The sequence below is a fragment of the Homo sapiens genome, chromosome 2 (assembly GCF_000001405.40).
Source record: "Homo sapiens chromosome 2, GRCh38.p14 Primary Assembly".
In the NCBI taxonomy this organism is placed as follows: domain Eukaryota; kingdom Metazoa; phylum Chordata; class Mammalia; order Primates; family Hominidae; genus Homo; species Homo sapiens.
In genome coordinates, this window is record NC_000002.12 from 149,107,429 (window position 1) to 149,130,126 (window position 22,698).

The 22,698-nt window shown below is 39.0% G+C and overlaps 1 protein-coding gene across 29 annotated transcripts in view; it reads left to right on the top strand.

Annotated features, from left to right (window-relative positions):
- LYPD6B (LY6/PLAUR domain containing 6B) overlaps nt 1-22,698 on the top strand; it is a 176,564-nt gene that overhangs the window by 68,730 nt on the left and 85,136 nt on the right. For 11 of the 29 annotated variants that reach the window (XM_047443401.1, XM_047443408.1, XM_047443406.1 and 8 more), the window contains exons 1-2: nt 10,746-10,837; nt 11,675-11,735. The exons of 10 other annotated variants lie outside the window; for them this stretch is intronic. The gene's annotated coding sequence lies outside the window, so the exon portion shown is untranslated. Of the gene's footprint in view, nt 1-10,745; nt 10,838-11,674; nt 11,736-22,269; nt 22,292-22,698 lie in introns of those variants that run through there. 8 more of the 29 variants (XM_047443404.1, XM_047443411.1, XM_011510623.3 and 5 more) reach the window with 2 other exon arrangements.

Genomic DNA, 22,698 nt, shown 5'->3' on the forward strand with positions numbered 1-22,698 from the left:
ATCACAGTTGACCACGAGTAACTGAAACTACAGAAAGTGAACCTGAGGATAAGGGGGGACTACTGCATAGATATTTAGTACTGTAAAATTATTCCCAAGTGCTGCGTTAGCAATATCCCACAAACTCTGATATGACATGTTTTGATTTCTATTTAATTCAGAACAATTTTAAATTTTATTTTAAACTTCCTCTTTGATGCCTGGTTTATGTAGATGTGTTGCTTCATTTCCAAATATTTGGGGGTTTCCTAGCTGTCTTTCTGTAACTGATTTCTGGTTTAACTCTATTATATTCAAAGAACATATTTTCTATGACTTGAATGTTTTAAATCTATTTACCTGTGTTTTGGCAGAAAATATATTCCATCTTGGTAACTGTCCACTTGTGTGTAAAAATAATGTGTATTCTGCTTTGAAAGGGTGGAGGGATCTATAACTGCCAGTTAAATCAAGTTAGTTGATAGTATATCCTTACTAATTGTTTTTCTACTTGTTCTATCAATTATTGAAAGAGGGGTATTTACATTTCAATTATAATGGTAGATTTATTTATTTCCATCCCCTTTGATATGGTTTGGCTGTGTCCCCACCCACATCTCACCTTGAATTCCCATGTGTTGTGAGAGGGACCCTGTGGGAGGTAATTGAATCATGGGGGCAAGTCTTTCCTGTGCTGTTCTCTTGATAGTAAGTCTCACAAGATCTGATGGTTTAATAAAGAAGAGTTCCCTTGCACAAGCTCTGTCTGTTTGCCTGCTGCCATCTATGTAAGACATGACTTGCTCCTCCTTGCCTTCCACCATGATTGTAAGGCTCCCCCAGCCACGTGGAACTGTAAGTCCATTAAACCTCTTTCTTTTGTACATTGTCCAGTCTCAGGTATGTCTTAATCAGCAGCATGAAAACAGACTAATACACCCTTGCAGTTCAATGAGTTTTTGTTTCACATATTTCAAAGCTCTGTTTTTAGGTTCATAAATGTTTAGGATTGTTATATCCTCTTTATCTTTATGAAATGGCTATTTTCATCCCTGAAATTCTTTGTTGCCCTCAAATATATACTGCCTAATGTTCATGTTGTCACTCCAGTTTGTTTGTTGACTAGTGACAGAATTGTGAATCTTTTACCTTCATTCTATTTTTAACCTGTTTATGTTTACGTTTAAAGTGTGTTTCCTATAGGCAGCATATGATTGGATCTTTCTTTTTTAGTTAGCTGACAACTTTTGACTTTCAGCACAGGTGTTAGAACACATATTGAATGTTATTTTTGATGTGTTTAAGTTTTTCATCTTGCTATTTATTTTATAATCACCCCCTTTTGTTCTTTGTTCCCCTTTCCTTATTTTTCTGGCTTCTTTTGGATTGAGTTTTTAAAAAATAATTCCATTTTAGCTTGTTTATTGGCTGATTAGTTATGCCTGTTTGTTTTATTTTAATGGTTGCTTTAGAGTTTATAGCATACATCTTTAACTTACCATTGTCTACCTTAAAGTGATATTATTTCACTTCACTTAGAGTATAAATTCCTTCTCCCTGCCCCTAGCCTTTATACTATTTTTTGTCATCATATATTTTACTTGTACATATGTAAGGGTCCCCACAATACATTCTTGTTTTTGTTTAAACAGTCAGATATTTATTAAAAAGAGTTAAATAATAAGAAAAAATATTACGCATTTATCTATGTGGTTACAATTTCTGGTACTTTTCATTCCTTTATGTAGATTCATATGTCCACTTGGTGTCAGTTTATTTTAAATTGAAAGACTTCCTTTGATAGTTCTTGTGGTGCAGAACTTAAAGCTTTTGTATCATACGTCTGAAAGTCTTCATTTCACTTAGGTTTTTGAAATACACGTTAGGTTGATAGTTTTTCTTTTTTCTTTCAGCACTTTAAAGATGTTGTTCTGCCATCTTCTTGCTTGCATTGTTTCTGATAAGAAATCTGTTGTCCTCCTGATCTTTGTTCCTCTGTGCACAATTTGCCCTTTTCTCTGGCTACTTTTTAATTCTTTTTTTAATCACTGGCTTTGAGCAGTTTTATTATTGTGTGCCTTGCTGTAGTTTTATTCATGTTTCTTGTGCACAAGGTTCATTTACTGTCTCAAATCTGTAAGTTTATAATATTCATCAAATTGGAAACATTTTAACTTATGTATCTTCAAATATTTTTTCTGTTCCCCGTTCTCAGTTCTTAAGATAATTCCAATTACATGTAGTATTTTAGGCTGCTTAAAGTTGTCCTTCAGTTCACTTATGTTCCCTTTATTTATTTATGTATTTATTATTTATTTTTTTGAGATGAAGTCTGGCTTTGTCACCCAGGCTGTAGTGCAGTGTCATGATCTCGGCTAACTGCAAACTCCGCCTCCCAGGTTCAAGCGATTATCCTTCCTCAGCCTCCTGAGTAGCTGGGATTACAGCTGCATGCCACCATGCCCAGCTAATTTTTGTATTTTAATAGAGATGGGGTTTCACCATATTGGTCAGGCTGGTCTCGAACTCCTGACCTCAAGTTATACACCCATCTCGGCCTCCCAAAGTGCTGGGATTACAGGCATGAGCCACCGTACCCGGCCACGTTCTTTTCTTTTAAAAAGATTCTTTTCCTTCTCTGTTTTATTTTGGATGGTTTCTATGACTATATTGTGAAGTCATCTCATCTTTTGTTCTGCAATATCTAATTACCCATTAATCCCATCCAATGTATTTTTTAACTTAGACATTGCAGGGTTTTTTAATTTGCAAATGTTTGATTTGGGGCTGTACTTTTTCATATATATTTCTACTTAACTTTTCAAAATATAGGGAGTACAGTTATAATAGTTTCAATGCCTTTGTCTGATAATTCTAACATCTGTATCTGTTCTGGGTGGTTTTGATTCATTTTCTCTTTTCATTATGGTTGCATTTTTCTGCTTCTTATCATGCCTACTAATCTTTGCTTGGATGCCAGATATTGTGAATTTTACTTTGTTGGGTGCTGTATATTTTTGCATTCCTGTAAATATTCTTGAACCTTGTTTTAGGATGCAGTTAAATTTCTTGGAAATCTTGACATTCTTTTAATGTTTGCTAGGCAGGATCATAGCAGCATTTAGTCTAGGGCTTAGTACTCCCCAATATTGAGGGAAGTCCTTTCTGAGTACCGTATCATAAGACCTATGAGTTATGAGGTTTTTCAATCTGACTACTGAAAATGACAACCTTACTTATTATGTAATTCCATTTTAATGTAAAAATATACATAGATTAGAGATGTGTTTCGTTTATTCAATGACTGTTTTTTGAATATGGACAATGTGAAAGATATCAAATATAGAATAGCAAATAAAGCAAAATCTTTCCTCTCAAAGAGTTTATATTCTATGTCTGGAGACAGACAATAGTTCTGTATCAGGTAGTAATATGTACTTTGAAGAAAAATAAGGCAGAGTAAAAGGAGAGAACAATGGGGAGTGGAATAGGATGCAGTACTCTATATGTGTCTGGGAAGAACTCTCGAAAAGGTGATATTGAAGCAGAGACTAGAATAAAGTGAAGTAGTGTGGCTGGTAGCTATCTGGTGGAAGGACACTACAGGTAAATGACGAAGTGCTGAGGTAGAATAATAGGAGGAGAGCATGGTCTTAGCATTTGTGAGGATGGGCAAGGAGGCTAGTGTGTTGGGGTGTACTGAGAAAGTAAGGGAGAGAATAGTAGGAGGTGAGGTCAGAGGGACCCCCAGGAGGATGGGGGATCACGTAAGGTTTTGCTGAAGGTGGTAAGAACTGTAGATTTTATTAAAAGGGGGATGGAAACCATTTAGTGGTTTTGAGAAAAGTAATGGCATGACCTGACTTACCTTTTTAAAGGGTATCTTTTTTGCTTTGTGGAGAATTGACTATAGGTAAAGGGTAGAGCAGGGAGACCAAGTTGGAAGTTACTATAGTCTTCCAGGCCTAAGGAGTTGGTAGTGGTGAAGGTGATGAAAAATCAGTCTGATTTGGGATATATTTAGAAGTTAGAGCTAGCAGCATTTGCTGATGAATTAGATGGTGGGATGGGGGTGGGGAGAGAGAGCTTAAGAGTGATTTCAAGGTTTTATTATTGTTGTGTGTCTCTTCATCTGACATTTACTGGGATGGAGAAGATTGGGAGTGGAGAATTAGAAGTTCAGTTTTGACATGGTGAGTTTGAGATTTTCTATAAAGTGTTAAGGAGGCAGTTGGACACACACATCTGAAGTTCAGGGGAAAAGTCTAGCCTAGAGACATAAATTTGAGTGTCATCAGCATATAGAAGGCATTTAAAGGTTAGGTCTGGATGAGACCACATAGAAAGTAAGTATAGATAGAGAATGAGAGATGACTAAAGATTGGGGTTGTCCAACATTTAAAAGTCAGGAAGATGAGGAAGAGCCATTAAAGGAGACCAAGAAGAAATGGCCAAACAGGCACGATGAGATCCAAGACAGTGATATCCTAGGAGCCAAGAGAAGAAAGTGTTTCAAGAAAGAGGATGTGATATACTATGTCAATTGCTGCTCAAAGTTGAGGAAAATAAGGTCTTAGAACTAACTTTGGGATTTGACAATGTGGAAGACATTGGGACCTTGACAAGGGCAGTCCGGTTGAAGTGGTAAGAATGAAAGTCTGATTGGAGTGGATTCAAGAGAGAATGGAGGAGAGGAAGTGGCAACAGTGAGCATAAGCAGCTGTTGAAGTTGTGTTGTAAAGGGGAACACAAAAATGGGTTGTAAGGAGATGCATGTCTGACAGACTTAGGTGTCTTAGAGGAGATATGAAAAAAAGTTCCCTGTAGTTACCTCTGAAAGACAGATTGAGTGGACCTTGGTATGGAGAGGATAGAGGAAAATTGTACTTTGCCCTTTATAACTTTATATGCTGTTTGATTTTTTTTCCCAATCAAGTTGCAGTACTCTTGTTCAGATGCAATCCTCACAAGGTTTAATATGTGAAAATACATACAAAGATAGAATATGGTATACATAGTACGTTTAGGTTAAACAAACAAAAAGCTATGCAGAGAAAAGACAGGAAGAAACTCATAAAGCCTTAAAAATAATATTATATGGTAGAAATAGAATGAGTTTTGGAATCTGGAAGTACTTGGGACTAAAATCTGGCTCGCATATACATCCCTTAATGTCTCTCACCCTTGGTTTCCTTTTTTGTAATATGTATATAAAAATACTACCATCATTAATGGTTAGTATGAGGTTTAAGTGGAATGACTTAAATGTTAAGTGCCTGAAAATTAGTAGGTTCTTGGGTCATTATATTATTCCTTCAAACTTTTTGTCTCTTTTAAAAGGGACAAAAATATTCATACATTACTAGTGTAATTAATTATTGAAAACGAACTGGGACAACTGTTGCTGAAATGTTAGCAGTGTTTGGTTCTAGGTGATGGGAATATAACTGATGGTTATTTTCCATTCAGTATAGTTTCTGTGTTTGTAGAAACAATAAGCCAAAATAAACAAAGAGTTCCTTTAAATAGAAACACCAGGTGATATGTATTTTTTCTGCCCAGTTTACTGACTTGTTGAACAGGAGAAGAAGGCAGATAGAAGGTATGGTAGGAGAGGAATGAAAGTTTACATGGTACCTACCATCGGCAAAATCAGGTGGAGAAAATGGAATGCATCAGAAAAATAAATTAATGAAAATGTGTTTTTATTTATAGATATCCTTTAAGGTTTCATCTGCTCCCTAAGTTGTACCTCAGCATGGACCTTTAGATTTGTAAGGAGGTTGGCTTGTAAAGTCTTAGTTTTTCTATTGTCTTTGTGTCATTATTTATAGAGTTCCCTTTCACTTTCAGAGGTGTCCTAGTTTGGAGGTTGAAGTATGTGATCCCCCTACTTAAAGGATGTGGAATGCTTAAAAGTTTTCAAAGGACTCAATAATGCTCTTGGATGGTTTTGCTCAAAGACTTGTGTTTTATGATGGGGAAAAGGATGGAAGGATATCAAGATCAACTTTCAGATGTAAAATTCTGAGATGAAGTCAAGAAAGATAAATAGCATTTGAGATGGGAAGAGACTCTACTGCAAAGTTTTCTGTCCTGGCTAAGTGGGCAGTATAACGTTGGGCTCTTCATATATACCAGGGGGAACAATATTAAGTGAAATACATTGCAATCTGTAAGGCACTATGCAAATGTAAGGTGCTTTCATGTGTATATGCTGTTCCATTTGAGTCTCACTATAGTCTCTAGTGGGTTTTAAAAAAATAGATCTAGAAATTGCTAGTAATTGATCAATCTGGGAATAAAACCCAGATTTCATGCTGTTTTAATTGGAACACTCATCTGGAACCTTCTCCACACTCTCTGGGCAGGGCTTTTTCTGACTACCACAAAAACTGAGTTCAGTTGGCTTCCTGGAGTGAACTGCATGGTTACTTTTCAGGAGATGAAATTATCTTCACTACATTAAGTGCCTTTGCTATGTAAGGTATTGACAAGATGGTGTAGAGTTTTGGACTGAAAACGCTTGTCCATTTCTAAGATGGAATATTAGGTGGTTGACAACTGTTAGATTTGGGTATGTGCCATTTATCTTGACATTGGACATTCCATTCCTTCCTCTTTCCCTCTGAAAGCTCAATAAAGCAAAGGGAAGGGAATCTGTGGACAGAACTTCAAGGACTTGACCTGATACTAGTTGAGGCTCTTGTTTGGTACTTTACTCACATACCAGCCTCTAAATTAAGGATTCAAGTATGGAATTTAAGAATTGAAAAAAAATAAGAGCTTATAGCTAATCACTCTTTCAACTCTTTTTCTGAGTGCACAACCTTTGGAGAAAAGTCTTATCATTATAAGTAATGCTTTTATCTCAATGCCAAGTGGTATTTCATTTTGACCTAGGAATCTAGGATATACATTTCTTTTGGAAAAGTGTTAGCATTTTGTGCTGCTGAATTAAATCACTCATGATAAAGGAAACCCCCAGTGCAGTTCTTCCCTGCTACCCTAAAACCATATCAAGACCCCACATATCTGAGAGAAGGAAATTGTACCTTAAGGCTTAACACAGAAGTCATGAAGACTGGTTTCCATTAGAGCTGGGCTGTCAGCAGCCTCCAAATTAAAACTGTTGGAAATGTTGAAATTTGAAGTTCAGTGTTAACATGAAGGGGGTTCACACACTACTGTTCTAAGGGCTAATCTTTAGTGATAGATGCAGAGACAGGAGATTCAAGTGTTCTTAGGAAAACCCAAGCGTTCTTCCATCCTAAGCCTTTCTGGCTTTCATTTTAACGTCAACCAGTCATTGCCAAGACTATGTCTGAAAGGACTAATTCTAGCTATTTCAAAGGGTCTTCTTTGTCTAATGTTCTTAGAAAATCATGTAATATTCTATTATGTGATATTTTAGATATACCATAATGACTACAGATATCAGTGATCCTCATTTTCCCCCTAGTTAATGTCAACATGGACTTGTGGAAAGAAAGCTCATAAAGCTGGAAGGCAATCCTCACTATAGTGATTTAAATTATTATTATTATTTTGAGATGGAGTCTCGCTCTGTTGCCCAGGCTGGAGTGCAGTGGCATGGTCTCGGCTCACTGCAGCCTCTGCCTCCAGGTTCAATTGATTCTCCTGCCTCAGCCTCCCAAGCGTCTGGGATTACAGGCGCTCGCCACTACATCCAGCTAATTTTTGTCTTTTTAGTAGAGATGGGGTTTCACCATGTTGGCCAGGCTGGTCTTGAACTCCTGACCTCAAGTGATCCTCTCGCCTCGGCCTCCCAAAGTGCTGGGATTACAGGTGTGAGCCACCATGCCCAGCCTACAGTGATTTAAATAAATATTACCACTAATTAGATAAGTTGTTTAAACTTTTGATGCTTCAATTGCCACATCTGTAAATGGAAATTCTAAGCAGTTTTCTATCTACCTTATTGGAATGTTTTCATGGTCAAATGGATAATTAGATGTCAGATCCTTTGAAAAACTAGAATCCTGATTATAGTAGAAACTTAGAATGCTCACCCATGTCTGGTTTATCTTAATGGGAAGATTCCTCTTCCTGATTCCCCTTGCAATTGAACAGGTCTTATGATTCTTGCTGGCCATCGAGTTGTGCTTGAACATGAGCCACTTTTGAGCCAGATCACTTAATTGCTTATGTGAGACCTGTTAGGACTCTCTTCCTCTGCTGTGGTGATTGTGGAAATGTTTAGAGTTGGGAATGTTTCACAGTTTAGAACTATCTGGAAGCTAAGATAACACATGGAAGATATTTATCCAGAAGAGGTGACTAGACCCACCGTAGGCTTTGAGGAAGCAAGAAATAGACCAATATATCAGTCTCCTCTTATCCATGGTTTCACTTTCCAAGGTTTCGATTACCTACGGTCAGCCTCAGTCTGAAAATATTAAATGGAAAATTCCAGAAATAAACAATTTATAAATGTTAAATTGTAGGCAGTTCTGAATAGTGTGACACAACCTCTCACTGTCACGAGTCATTTCTTTGTTCAGCTTTTGTACATGCTTTATATGCGACCTGCCTGTAGGCATCTTGGTTATCAGATCTACTGAGACCGTATTGCAGTGCTTGTGTTCAAGTTAACAGTAGCCTAACATTATGTCACAAAGCCTATGTCATTTACCTCATTCCATCTCATCATGTAGGCATTTTATCATCTCACATCATCACAAGAAAGTTGAGTATAGTACAATAAGATATTTTGAGAGAGCCCATATTCACATAACTTTTATTACAGTGTATTGTTATACTTGTTCTATTTAATTATTGCTTTAAATATTTTATTGTGCCTAATTTCTAAATTAAACTTTATCATAGGTATGTATCTATAGGACAAAACATAGTATATGTAGGGTTTGGTACTATCTGCAGTTCCAGGCATCCAGTGAGCATCTTGGAATGTCTCTGACAAAGAGAGGGGAGATCTACTGTACTGTGTCAGATCACTGAGATTGAGGGGTTGTTATGGCAGCAGAACCTAGCTTAACCATACTGCTGTAGGTATAAAGAATTCTTAAAATTGTTAATTGTGATTATTAGTGAGATATCTCCTAACCCTCTGCTAATATTTACTACTAATTTGCTGTTGTGCCATTTTCTGACACCTATTCGATTTGAATCTGACCACTTTGACCCTTTTCTCATCCCCCCACACCCAAGAATCTCTCGTGTCCTGGAAGTAACCTGAAGGAAGGAACTGTATTAGCAGTTATGACATGTTGGCAGTTACAACATAAAAGGATGGAAGCTAAATTCAAGAAGTACTGTGCCTGACATATAATGGGCACTCAGCAAACATTTGTTGACAATAGGAAGAGAAATTGGATGAGATGTGGCTGCTACCAGTGATTTCATGTGGCAAAATCTAATAAATGTTTAGTTCTCATCTTCCTTGACCTTGTAAACAGGGTTTGGAGCTTTTCACCACTCTCTCTTTCTCAAAACTCTTTGATCCTTGGCTTCCTGGACATCAGAAGCTTCTAGTTTCCCCCCTATCCTAGTAGCCACTGCTTGGTCTCCTTTGCAGAATCCCCGTCTTCCTAATATCTAAATACTCTAGTGCCCTAGAGCTCAGTCTTTGGGCCCCTTCTTGTTTATTTGAATCTCTCAGTCTTGTCTGCTGTTTTATTATTGAGTGATTTCCTTTTATTGATTTATACATTCTCTTTTTTATGGAGAGTAGTAACCCTCAGTCTATCCTACATTGCTGATAATTTTCCTCATTTGTTATTAGATTTTTACTTTATAGTTTTTAATATACTACATATTTACTATATTTATAGTTTTTCATAGACAATGTACATTTTTATATAATCATATATGTCATTCATCTTTTTTTTTTTTTGAGACTTTTTGAGTCTCCCTCTGTCGCTCAGGCAAGAGTGAAGTGGTTTGATCTTGGCTCACTGATATCTCTGCCTCCCGGGTTCAAGTGATTCTCGTGCCTCAGCCCCCTGAGTAGCTGGGGCTACAGGCGAGCACCACCATGCCTAGCTAATTTTTATATTTTTAGTAGAGATGGGGTTTCGCCATGTTAGTCAGGCTGGTCTCAAACTCTGGATCTCAAGTGATCAGTCCACCTTAGCCTCCCAAAGTGCTGGGTTAAGGCTTTTGGAATTAGTGTGGCATTTTGGGGATTTGTCAATGTGTGAAGTGGTTATGCTTAATATATGTACCTGGTCTGTATATTAAGGCCACTTTCCTTTGTATAGCAGGACCTTGTTGCTCATCTGTCATTTTTGTCCATGTTCTTTGGGTTATGTAGCTATATGGTGAGGGGTCAAGTTGTTCCAATTTAGTCTTGCCAAATTATCCTTGTTATTATAATAATCATCTATTGCTATGTAACAAAGTACTCCAAAATTTAGTGTTGTAAAGCACCAATAATCATTTATTATCTTTCATGGTTTCTCTGAATTCAGGAATTCAGAAGTGGCTTGGCTGGGCAGTTCTGGATTAGGGTCTCTCACCAGGTTGTAGTCACGTCTAGGCTAGGGCTGTGGTCATCTGAAGGCTGGAGGATTTATTTCTAAGCTGGCAGTTGGTGTTAGCAAATTGGTCCTTCTCCATGTGGATCTCTTTGAGTGTCCTCATGATGTGGTGCTTGGCTTTCCCCAGAGCAAGTAATCCAAGAGACCAAGACAGAAACTCCAATGTCTTTTATGACAGCCTCAAAGTTCCAGTCATCATTTCCACCTCATTCTATTGGCTGCATAAGAGACTAGCCAGGCTTCAGTGTGTGTGCTGGGGCTGGGGCGGCTACATAGCTGTGACTACCAGGGGGTGCAGTCTCTGGGGACCACCACTACCGAGGCTGGGTACCATGGTAACCAAAGAGCACTTTTTATTTGAGATGTTTTCTTGGGTTTGATATATACTTTTAAACTGAGAATACAGGAATGCCAACTGATAAATACTGGATTTTTACAAAGCACAGTTAACTTTACATTCTGTTAAGCAGAAAGAAAATGCATGAGTTTTTGCAGACTATTTGCTCGAGTAAGGCTCTCAGGGCAGAGGACACTTGAGATTGCCTTGATGCAGTTCCTTCTGGTACACTTTTTGGGGCTAATATTGTTCTTGATTTTCTGCATCCTCCATCTGTCTCTGAATCCAAATATTTTGAAGAAAACAAATCAGAGGGAGGCAAGAAAATGTTCAAGACAGAGTAGAAATAGCTGCTAATAACAGCAATAACTACTTTATTTCTTGAGTGCTTGCTATGTGCCAGATATGTCTCAGACCTTTTACATAAGTGATATGTTACTTAGCTCTTCCACTGACCCCATTTTAACTATGACAAAACTGATTCTCGGAGTAATTTATTCAAGATCATGTAGTGAATGGTTGGGCTGAAATTTGAACCCAGGTCTGTCTGTTTCTAAAGGCTGTGGTTAATCTACTGCCTCTCACTGTATCCCATTAATATAAACACACAAACACAATGTTTGGGCATCAGAAAGTTGAAAAGCGGTAGAGTTGTGTATTACCTGGAAGGATCTGTCAAAGGTAAAAAATGCAGGAAAATGTAATCCCAGATACAAAAATACTCTGAAACTGAAAAGTGCTTTATAAATGTAAGGTGGCAGTGTTCTTAATATTATTCAGCTCAGAGAAGTAAGAAAATGAATCATGTATAATTCCTTTATTTCTTTTCACTCAGATTATCGCGGAACACCTGCCCATTAATCTTGACCCTGTTAAAACAATAACTGCCTATCCAGGTAATACATTGGAGTTAATGTGTAATTAAAGAAAATTATTATCACTTGGCTATGAAATGGGAATGGCAATATTTCAAGTTAATATGTATTTTAGACCAATAAATGTTTTAGTTTAAAAAAACTCTGCTGAAATGTACAATTTACAAAGATATCAAACCATCAGTTTAAAATTAAAGCGTAAGAAGCTTTATGTCTGTAAATGTGTTTTGTTGTAATGTCAATATGATATCATAATTGTCTTCCACACGAAGACATTGTCTTTCTGACAACCACTGTTTAAAGAAAATAGACCTTGGGAATGGGGAAAGTACATTTCTCTTGGATTTTCCTGTCTTTTGACATGTACCTTTGTGACGTGAACACATTAACGATGAACTCAGTTGACGGTCTTGAGGGTGAGGGATGATATGTAGCCTTCATTACATTGCCTTGGCTCCGGGCCCGTAGGCACCAGCAGCAAGAGCTTTGATTTCATTTTAAAAGGAGTTAGAAGAATGTGAAGAAGGTCATGGCCATCAATCTGTTATCACTCTGCTAGATAGGATCTCTTTAAGGAGGAGCATGAAACATATTCTAAAAGCTCCAGTGAAGGCCCCCAAATGGCGATGTTCATCCTACCGCTTCCTAGTGAAAGTGTGCAATCTCTGAAACAGAGCTCACAAGCACTGAACAACAACAAATAGTCTAAGGAAATGCTTTCATTTTAAATTGTCCCAGCTAGAGCCAGCATATATAGACAGTAGGTATAGTGAGGCATGTGGATGAAAGCAAAAAAAAAAATTTTGCACTCCTGTTAGCTTTATTAAATGTACATTATTGTGAGTGGGTCAGTAGCCATCCTACTGCAGAGAAAAGGAATGGAGACTGAAGTTAAATGTTCTGCTTAAGGCTACTTATTGATTGGAAGGCAGGGTATAGTCTTGGGGAGCCCTGAGCTCCTAGAATGCACCTCTGCTGTCACAAGCTATAGCCATGTGGTCTGTGAATATTATGTCCTTTGTTTTATTTCTTTTGTTTCATTTTTAAGGATATTTTAGAAGAGAAATTTACAGTACTTAGAATTTTGAGTTCTCCAATATAGGATTTAGTTTTGTGAAATGTCATCTAACTTTTAGGGACATGCATGTATATACACATATATATATATGTGTATATATATGTGTATATATATATGTGTATATATATATGTGTGTGTGTGTATATATATATATATATATATATTTTTTTTTTTTTTTTTTTGAGATGGAGTCTTGCTATCTCCCAGGCTGGAGTGCAGTGGCGCGATCTCGGCTCACTGCAAGCTTCGCCTCCCAGGTTCATGCCATTCTCCTGCCTCAGCCTCCCAAGTAGCTGGGACTACAGGCGCCCGCCACCACACATGCCTAATTTTTTTGTATTTTTAGTAGAGACGGGGTTTCACCGGGTTAGCCAGGATGGTCTCTATCTCCTGACCTCATGATCCGCCCGCCTCAGCCTCCCAAAGTGCTGGGATTACAGGCATGAGTCACGGCGCCTGGCTGCATATATATTTTTACATAATTAAAATTCTGATGCACGTCCAAATATGTGTTCTATTTATCATTATTAATATAAACATTTTTTGCTACTATGCTACAAAGTCTTTTTTTTTTTTTTTTTTTTTGTGAGACAGCGTCTTGCTCTGTCACCCAGCCTGGAGTGGGCAGTGGCGTGATCTCGGCTCATTGCAACCTCTACCTCCCAAGATCAGGTGATCCGCCTGCCTCAGCTTCCCAAGTAACTGGGACTACAGGTGTGCACCACCATACCTGGCTAATTTTTGTATTTTCAGTAGAGACAGGGTTTCACCATGTTGGCCAGGCTGGTCTCAAACTCCTAACCTCAAGTGATCCACCTGCTTTAGCCTCCCAAAGTGCTGCGATTACAGGTATGAGCGACCCCGCCTGGCAAAGTCTTAATGATATTTCAAGGTGGCATCATAGTTCATTAAGTTGATATGTCATAATTTAACAATTCCCATCCCATTGGACATATAGGTTGTTTCTAAAATTTCCTCTGCTGTAGATGACATGATACTAGTTTTCTTCATGAAGATAGCTTTTTTATTTCCTAAGGTATTGTTTTCTGAAGCTAAATTTTTTCAAGAGTGGATTTAGAGGGTCCAGTTCGCTTTTGTTTTTTATGCAATTCATCTTAATGGGTTTGCTTCCCTGAGGGATGGTGAGTGCTTTTTCTACTTTTTTATGTGATTAATTTTCAAAACTCTAATCTGCATTTAGGAGTTCACATAGAGCTGATTTGACTGACCAAATCTGATGATTGTTGCAGTCCCAGCAGAACACAGAATTCACCCCATTGGTTCAAATGAAGAGGATGTCATGAAGGGCTATAGTCACAGAAGTGTGTGCAGGGTTAAAGAGCAAACAAGGGACTCCAACAGTGGAAAGTCATGTCCAGCTCTGGGCTGAAGGGATGAGAGAGGAACATAGTGTTTCATGAGGGCTCATAGCCAGTCCTGGGCTGAAGGGGTGGTAGAAGGAAGTAATGTTCCATGAGCACTTAGAGCTGCAGCCACAGAGAAGCAGGACCTGCCGGGGCCAGGGCTGTGGAAGGACACAGCTTTCACCAGAGATGCTGCAGTGAAGCACCCAAGGATTGGAGGGAACACCTCAACCTCCTGTTCCTCTCTCCCTCCAGTCTCATGCTAGTGCCTCCCACTGACAGAACCCAACCAAAAGTCACCTGGCACAGGACCCTGGGTGGTGCTGCCTTCAGGAGTCACCCTCCTGGAGCACAGAGCAAGGCCAATAATGGATCCAGTGCTGGTGGAGGTGAAGGGGCAAATGGAAAAACCCCAAACGAGAAAGAAACAGACCAAAACAAACTATCACCATAATTGTGGAAGTTTGTTTCAGTAGCAGCACTAGGGACCCATTTAGTGGAATCTCAAGCATGGTTCATATTTCACACCCCTCTGGACTGCAGTCCAGAAAGGCCTTAAATATTGCATCCATTTTACCATGAAAACTGGGTCACAGTGGGAGAGCTGGGAGCTCCCGAAAGAGCACTCAGCACTGCCGAGATCGTGTCACAAGTCTGTGGGTGCTGTGCTTGCTCTGTGGCCATCTTTCTAGTCATCTTGTGTTAGCTCTGATTTTATTCTTTATAATAGCTGTTTCAGTTCTGCTCCAGCTCCTAACCCCACCCCTCCAGGTTTTGATGGAGGCATGTTTCTCATTTCTTTTTTTCTTTTTTTTAAAAATTATTATTTTTTCTTTTTCTTTTTTTTTATTATACTTTAAGTTCTAGGGTACATGTGCACAATGTGCAGGTTTGGTACATATGTATACATGTTCCATGTTGGTGTGCTGCACCCATTAACTCGTCATTTACATTAGTTATTCCTCCTAATGCTATCCCTCCCCCCTCCCCCCACCCCATGACAGGCCCTGGTGTGTGATGTCCCCCACCCTGTGTCCAAGTGTTCTCATTGTTCAATTCCCACCTGTGAGTGAGAGCATGTTTCTCATTTCAGTACATACTCAGGGCAGCTTGTCTGTGTAACCACATGGTCACCAGACAGCATTCCACAGGGCGGTTTCTCACTTTGGGGGCTGAGGGCCTCTGAACATTTATGGACTTTGGGGATTTGTGAGTCCTCTATACAGATTTTCACATGTTGCTTTTATTTGGATGGCAATAAAAATTTAAGATAGGCATATTCTGGATCATTTGGATGACTACCTTATAACTGAGTACTGTGACATGGTTTCCGTGTCTGCATCTACATTAGGTTTGTGTTCAAATTAGTGTCAAGCAGGACCACTTTCAATGTGGAGTGTTCTTAAGAAAAAATCACGGTAGATTTAGTTTGATCCCAGAGCACTGTTTACATTCAAAGAGCAAATGCCCACACAGAAGGCTGATGAAGAAAGGTTTCACAGTAGTTCCAGAAGGGAAGGTGGCAGGAGGATTCAGTCATCACATGGAACAGGAGTAAATGCTTGCTGAGCTCCAGAGAATCCATGCCACAGTGATCAGTACCATACAGCTCCTCATTTGGGCAGCAGTGTGGTTTCAGCAGAACATCATTCAGCATGTTAAATTAATCCTTTTAACTTAACTTGAATGCTATTGGCTTTATGGTTTTGGTTGTATTTATTTATGCATGTTCTGTGGTGTTGGTAGATGAAGGGTAGTATGTCTAAGGATTTTGGGCCTGGTTTTATGTTGATTGTTTTCTAAGTAACACCCTAATAATGATAATTAGAGTTAACATTATGGGAATTCAAGGGAAGATCTTTAAAAAAAGATCTGTACGTAACTAAAGTTGGACAATTACTACGCGGAGGAAAGGGCACTGAACTGATAATTTTGGCCTTTGTGTCCTCTTCATGAGAAAAGGAAAGAAAAGAGAAGGGAGGGAGGAAGAAAAGAACAATTTAAAAATGCTGTACACGCCTGTGATCCCAGCACTTTGGGAGGCCGAGGCAGGCAGATCACGAGGTCAAGAGATCGAGACCATCCTGGCCAACATGGTGAAACCCTGTCCCTACTAAAAATACAAAAATTAACCGGGCATGGTGGCACGCACCCCCAGCTACTCACTCGGGAGGCTGAGGCAGGAGAATCGCTTGAACCCAGGAGGCAGAGGTTGCAGTGAGCTGAGATTGCGCCACTGCACTCCAGCCTGGCCGACAGAGAGAGACTTCGTCTCTAAATACATACATAAATAATAATTTAAAAATGCTGTAAAAGACCACAGTTCTTCACCGCAAGAATTCGTGAAGTTTTGGATGATTTAGCAGCACATATTTAGGAAATGTAATACTCACCTGATGTTATCCAGGAAGGCCCCCCGGGCTCCTTTGCTGTATGCTTTTCTAGTTAAGGACCCACTCCTGTGGAATCCAAGGGCCATTCTTCCTATTTTTACTGTAACCAAACAGCATACTGAACTCTCATAGATATTTACTCACTCATTTTCTGAAGTACTAATTCCCTTTGTTGAAAATATTAAAGAATGTCTTGTCCTTTTAATTCCTCACTGCACTAACCCCTCCAAGAATATGGCTTATAAATACAACACTTCTTGGGGGATGCCAATATATAGTCCTTTCTGGGGCCGAGACCAACTACCTTGTAATTATCAATGACGGTTGTTCCACTGGGCAGAGAACATTATCTCCTCTTTGCATATAGCAGATAATTGTTATCAATGCTCAGGGCAATTATGTGCATGTGGAAAACCCACGTAAAGGTGTGTTTAGTGATAAGTGCGTGGTCTGTTTTTTTGGCAGGGGTTCTGAAACCCGTGATGTTAAGTGGGCATCACACGATACAACGAACAGGTGTGCATGCTGGAGTAGCTCAGCATTCTCAACTAGGGTTGTCCTCAGCAACCCACGAGAGTAGCATCACTTCTAACAGTCCTGAAGTTGCATTAGCCGGGCAACTATTAGCCGTTATTGCCACTGCTCACTAATCCCTCTAATGGAGTTCATCAGAAATAGAGCCCATGAAAATATTAGATAGTTCATAAATAATTTGGAACTGGCACTTAAATGTGTTATGCATTTTTTTTCCCCGGCCAACAGACCTTTCTACTTGCTTGCTTTAGGATTACGTAAAAAGGAGCCCGAATTCTACAAGTTAGGTTCCAATTGCAGTGTTGCTCATCCCCAACTCTTTTCCCACCTCCCGCTCCCTGTACCAACCCCACTGTCCAAGTTATCAGGGAATGTGATGAAGAAATGGCCACAAGAAGCTTCTGTAGGTCATTTTCCTACAGCCCAACATTCAGGTAGACCCAGGCTCAGCAACCAGGTTACAAAGAAGCCTTTGAAGGATGATCTTTCTGTGATTTATTATTTTCTAAGAAGCAAGTTGGTGTGGATCGATGTGGTCAGACTGCATCTAGCAGAAAAATTCCAGGAGGAAATTGGGTTCTCCCAGTCAAACAGAAACTTTTCATGTTGCCTCATTTCCGCCATCCCAAACCTCTGGATTGGTAAAACCCAGGAACTCAAACACATCTTACCTCCCAGTCAGTGCTGTAACGTCACAAATCACTAATCTCCAACCCTGTTTGCCAAAGTCAAACAACGCCTGGCCCCGACAAAGCCCTTCACAAACAAAGCCACACCTGGCCTGCAAGTTAGGATAAGTAGATTACTCTCTAGACACAGCTGAAAGTTTAAGCTGCCAAAACACTCTTTCCTCTTCCTGGAGGGTTTTTCTTTGCTCTAAGCCCCTCTTCCACCCAGGGAAGCCACCCTGCCTCCAGGGGCCATGGAATTCTCTGGAGAATTTAATTCTGTCAGGAAACAAGTCAACCTCTCCCCCATCACAAATGTGGAGGACAGGCTTGGCTGGAGTGGATTAGGTTAGGAGGGAAAGTGGTGAGGAAGTCCTGGCTTGAGGTCTTGGTGGATTAGGTCTATGATACCACTTTCTCCCACTGTGAATAAAGTTGGTATCCTAACCCCATTTCCAAAGAACTCAGGCATCTTCGAGTACCTTAACTCCAATCACTCTCTCTTGAATTATATGCTATTGTTGCCTGATATTTTAGTTCTGACTCCTTTTACCATCACAGTGTAAATATTTTTTGTTTTACAGAGACGTTTTAAAAATACTCATTTAAGATTACCTACCTATATACCAACTTTTCTAATCCTTGACATTCCTTATCTCCTCCTTCCTAAAGTAAGGTCTTTAGATATTCTTTTGAAGTTTTGTTGATAGTAAACTCCTCTGTTTTTGTGTATAAGAAAATATATTTCTTTCTCATTCTTAAAAAATTTCCTCATTGGGTGTTCTAGTTAAGACTTATTTTCTCCTACCACTTTGAAGATAACTACTGTCAGTTTATAAGTAAATAAGTACAACTGACCCTTGAACTTGAGAAGAGATGCTTAAACTCTTCATAATTAAACAAATGCAAGTGAAAATGAAAAGAAGATAACTACTATCTTCTGACTTCAGTGTGGCTGCTGAGAAATTAGCTGTCAGTCTAATTGCTGACCTCTTTTCTGGCTGCCTTCATAATATTGTGGTTGCTTTTGGTATTCTGTAGTATCATTTCAGTGTCTCTAGATGTGGAATATAGTTGACTCTCGGACAATGGTGGGCTTAGGGGTGCTGACCCCTCTGCATGGTTGAAAATCCATGTATGATTTCTAACTCCCCCAAAACTTAACTACTTAATAGCCTACTGTTGGCCAGAAGCCTTACCAATAAACAGTCAATGCATACTTATTTTGTATGTTATATGTATTATATGTTGTATTCTTACAATAAGGTGAGCCAGAGAAAAGAAAATGCTATTACAAAAATCATAAGGAAGAGAAAATATATTTACCATTGATAAAGTGAAAAGTACGGATAAAGGTCCTCATCCTTGTCATCTTTACATTGAGTCAGCTGAGGAGGAAAAGAAAGAGGAGGGGTGGGTCTTGCATCTCAAGGGTGGGAGAGGCAGAAGAAAATCCATGTATAAGTGTATCCACACAGTTCAAACCTGTGTCGTTCAAGGGTCAACCATGCTTTTGATTTCTTCTGCCTGGGATATAGGGTGTCTCTGCATCTTTGGATTGGTGTCTATCACCAGTTCTAGAGAAACCCTGGCCATTGTGTCACAAAATTACCTCTCCTCCATTCTCTATTCTCTCCTTCTAGGACGTCCATTAGACTTGTGTTCAACCTTTTTCTTCTGTGCTTCATGCCTCTTAATACCCTTTTAATAATTTCCATATCTTTATCTTTCTCTCTGTACTGCCTTCTGGTCATTTTTTTTTTTTTCATAAGCTTTGTCAGGTCAGTAATTCTCTATTCAGCTATATAAATCTGTGGTTTAATCCGTCCATTGAGTTTTCAGTTTTAATGATTTTATACTGTTGTTGTTTTGTAATTCTCTATGGCTAGTTTGCAAATCTTTCTGGTCATTTTCTTAAAGTCTCTTTTTGTTTGTTCATTTTAATATTTCATATTTTATTATATGAAATATTTTATATATAGTAATATTCTATGTCTGAGAATACTGGATATTTGGTAATTGAGGGTGTAATTCTGTTGTTTATCATTTATGCTCACTCTCATTTACATTGTTTTGTTTTCTTATGTTTTGAGAAATTATTTGTGTGAGCTTATATTTGATAAAATTTAACAGTATCGAGGGCTCAAACTGAGAACTTTCCTCCAGAGAAGATTGAAATTTCTTGTGTCCTGGAACTTGGGATCAGGACTGATCTGGGACTGCATTAGTAACCTTTAAGGATCTTGACTTATTGCCCAAGTCTCGGGTTCAGCTGCCCCACCATGGGAGGGTCCCAGCGCTCAGTCTCTGGTTCCAGAGGACTTAGCAGCACCTGCTCCCAGGGCTACCCTGACTTCTGTGTGTGCTTTCCACTTACTATTTTGATTTTATATTTCCTTCCTTTCCTCCCCTCTTCCTTGTATATATGTATGCATGTGTGTATCTATGTACTTTCTTGGGACATTTTCTTTAATTTTTTGGTGGTCATAAATGCATTATAAGATTGTTGTATTTCCCCAGGATCCTGTTATACTGTAGCAGGAAGACCTTGCAGAATATGTGCTAGGAGCAGAAAAATGGATCTCTTATAGAATACCCCCAGTTCCTTGTCTCCTTTCAGTTACAGCTAACTTGGGCCTAAGTGTCAAATGAGACCTGGAACTACTCTACTCTTGGTTTATGGGGTATAATGGTGCCCTAATACCCAGCACAATTTCACATTCTACCTATTAATCTTTTTTGTTGGACTGATCACCTTGAGGTCATTGGCCAGAGATGTGTCTTCAAAATATAGTACTGCATAGGTAAATGATGATTTTTTTTTTTAAAAAAGAAACAAATTAGACCCCATATTTGGTTATTCAACTCGTTTAAAAGATGTTTTCAGCTAACATATATCATTTACATGATTTCTTAAAAGAAAAAACATAACCTATTGCTTCTAAAATCTTTTTGTTTTTTCTTCTTGGAAATGATGTTGCCATCATTTGCTTCTTGAAAATCAAGCTTGAGTCTAATATTTCTTTTTGTACCTAGTCACATCTGTCATGTAACAAACTTTACTGGAATTGAATTGCATTTTCTAGATGGTTTGACAGAGACCTGGAAATGGCATTTAGGGATGTTCCATCAAATAGCATTTTAAATCTCCTGACAGGTCAGTCTTTAATTAGTAGAGCAGGTTATTTGGTTCAAATTATAGATCCAAATCATGGACTTTAGGGATACTTTCTGAAAACTGCTTCCTTGTTCTAGTTCTAATCATTGGCACTGCATTTGTTCCACATTACTGTTGAGCAGTTACTGTAATTAGATGAGAGAGTCTCACAAGGATGGAAGTTGGAGATAGAACTGGGTTTTATTTGGTGTTAATCAAGACAGTCTTTAGTGTTTTTGTCTCACCTGGATAGAGACTATTGAAAGAAATGTGTAAGGCACTAAGCATTTCCTAATGAATGGTGGTAAGAGGGTCTTTGAATGTGAACATTTCCTAAATTTTATCTCTCAAAAAATAACCTTACAAAACAAGTCAAAATTTCTTAGGGAAATTACAGAGCCTTTGTATCAACAAAATAGCAACAGGATGCATTGTAGAATGTTATGCATCTGTTCATTGCTCAGATGCATAAGGAATACCAGTAAAGAACATATCACCTACTTTTTCTTTGCTTTTGAGAGACTGCTCTATTTTTTATCTTGCCTAGTGTTCTGATCCCCTTGGTTGTAACCATAAGAAAATCTGATGAGAATTATGTAGGCCATCTGCCCTAACTTCACAAATGAGAGAAAAGGAGACTTTACCTGGGGAACCTCATCTCTTTTCTGATGAAAAATGATGAGTAACCCGTGATTGCTTGAAATACAATGTTGAATGGGTGAATAACAAAGGGCATGTGAGATTTGTGGGGTTGCTTGCATGCTTCCTAAAACTCAGCATATATGGCACATCCTTTAAACAGAAAAAGGTCCTCTGCTGGTTATCTGCCAGGGACATGCAAGGGAAGAATGACCAAAATCCATATGTTTAGGACAGTTCTTGAGAAAGTCATCTCCTATAGACTTTTAAGATGCTAATAAGAAAACAAATAAATTTAAGAGCTATAGCGGGTGAAGTTACTTAGGGTATAAATGATTTCGACAAGCTTGGGAATTTACAAAATATAGGAAGCAGGATGTTTCTTGAGAGTGTGGCCTAAAACACTTTGGACAAATGCCAGGCCTAGGCTAACCTCTGAATATGTGTCCCAACCCATACTTTAGGGAACCCCTCCTCAAACTCTCTATCTGAAAATCTCATCTTTGGGATGGATGCAGTGAACTCCTTCCTGCTGAAGTATAAATGACTAATAAGCTTTGTGGATTTCCTCCTCGTGGTTTATAACTGGAGATAATCTTTAAGTCAACGGAATGCAGCCTCAGTTGTGTACTAGCCAACTGTATCTCCTTGGAGGAAGTGGTGAGGAGTTCTAAGTGCTATTTAGAGTTATAATGCTTTTCCTGTGGTGTATGCAGCATTCCCAGCTGCTGGTGCTAAGATGAGGTAGGTAAGACTTATGGTGGACTTTATGCAGACTTCTTGATGGGGCTTTGTAGGCAGAGCAGAGAGCCTGTGTAACTCATCTTTGTATTGTTCATTTCTAATTCAATGCCTGGTGCAAGATAGAAACTCTGTAAGTATTGGCTGTTGAATGGAGGTCAGCCTGGGACCTGCCAACAAGGCGTGGTGTCTGGGAAGGAAGAAGGAGGAGGTATATACGCAGGTGCCTGGACTTCTGCTTCCACTTCATCCCAGGTCCTCACCTTTCGTCCAGGAGCCTGGGTACTGCAGGCTTTGTGCTCCAGTTAAGTGGGTACACCCGCCTCTTTCTGGTAGGCCCCTAAGAGGCCAACTTGACCAGAACGCTGAACGGCAGCTTTTCTCCCTCCAACTCTTAAGTCTCTGTGATT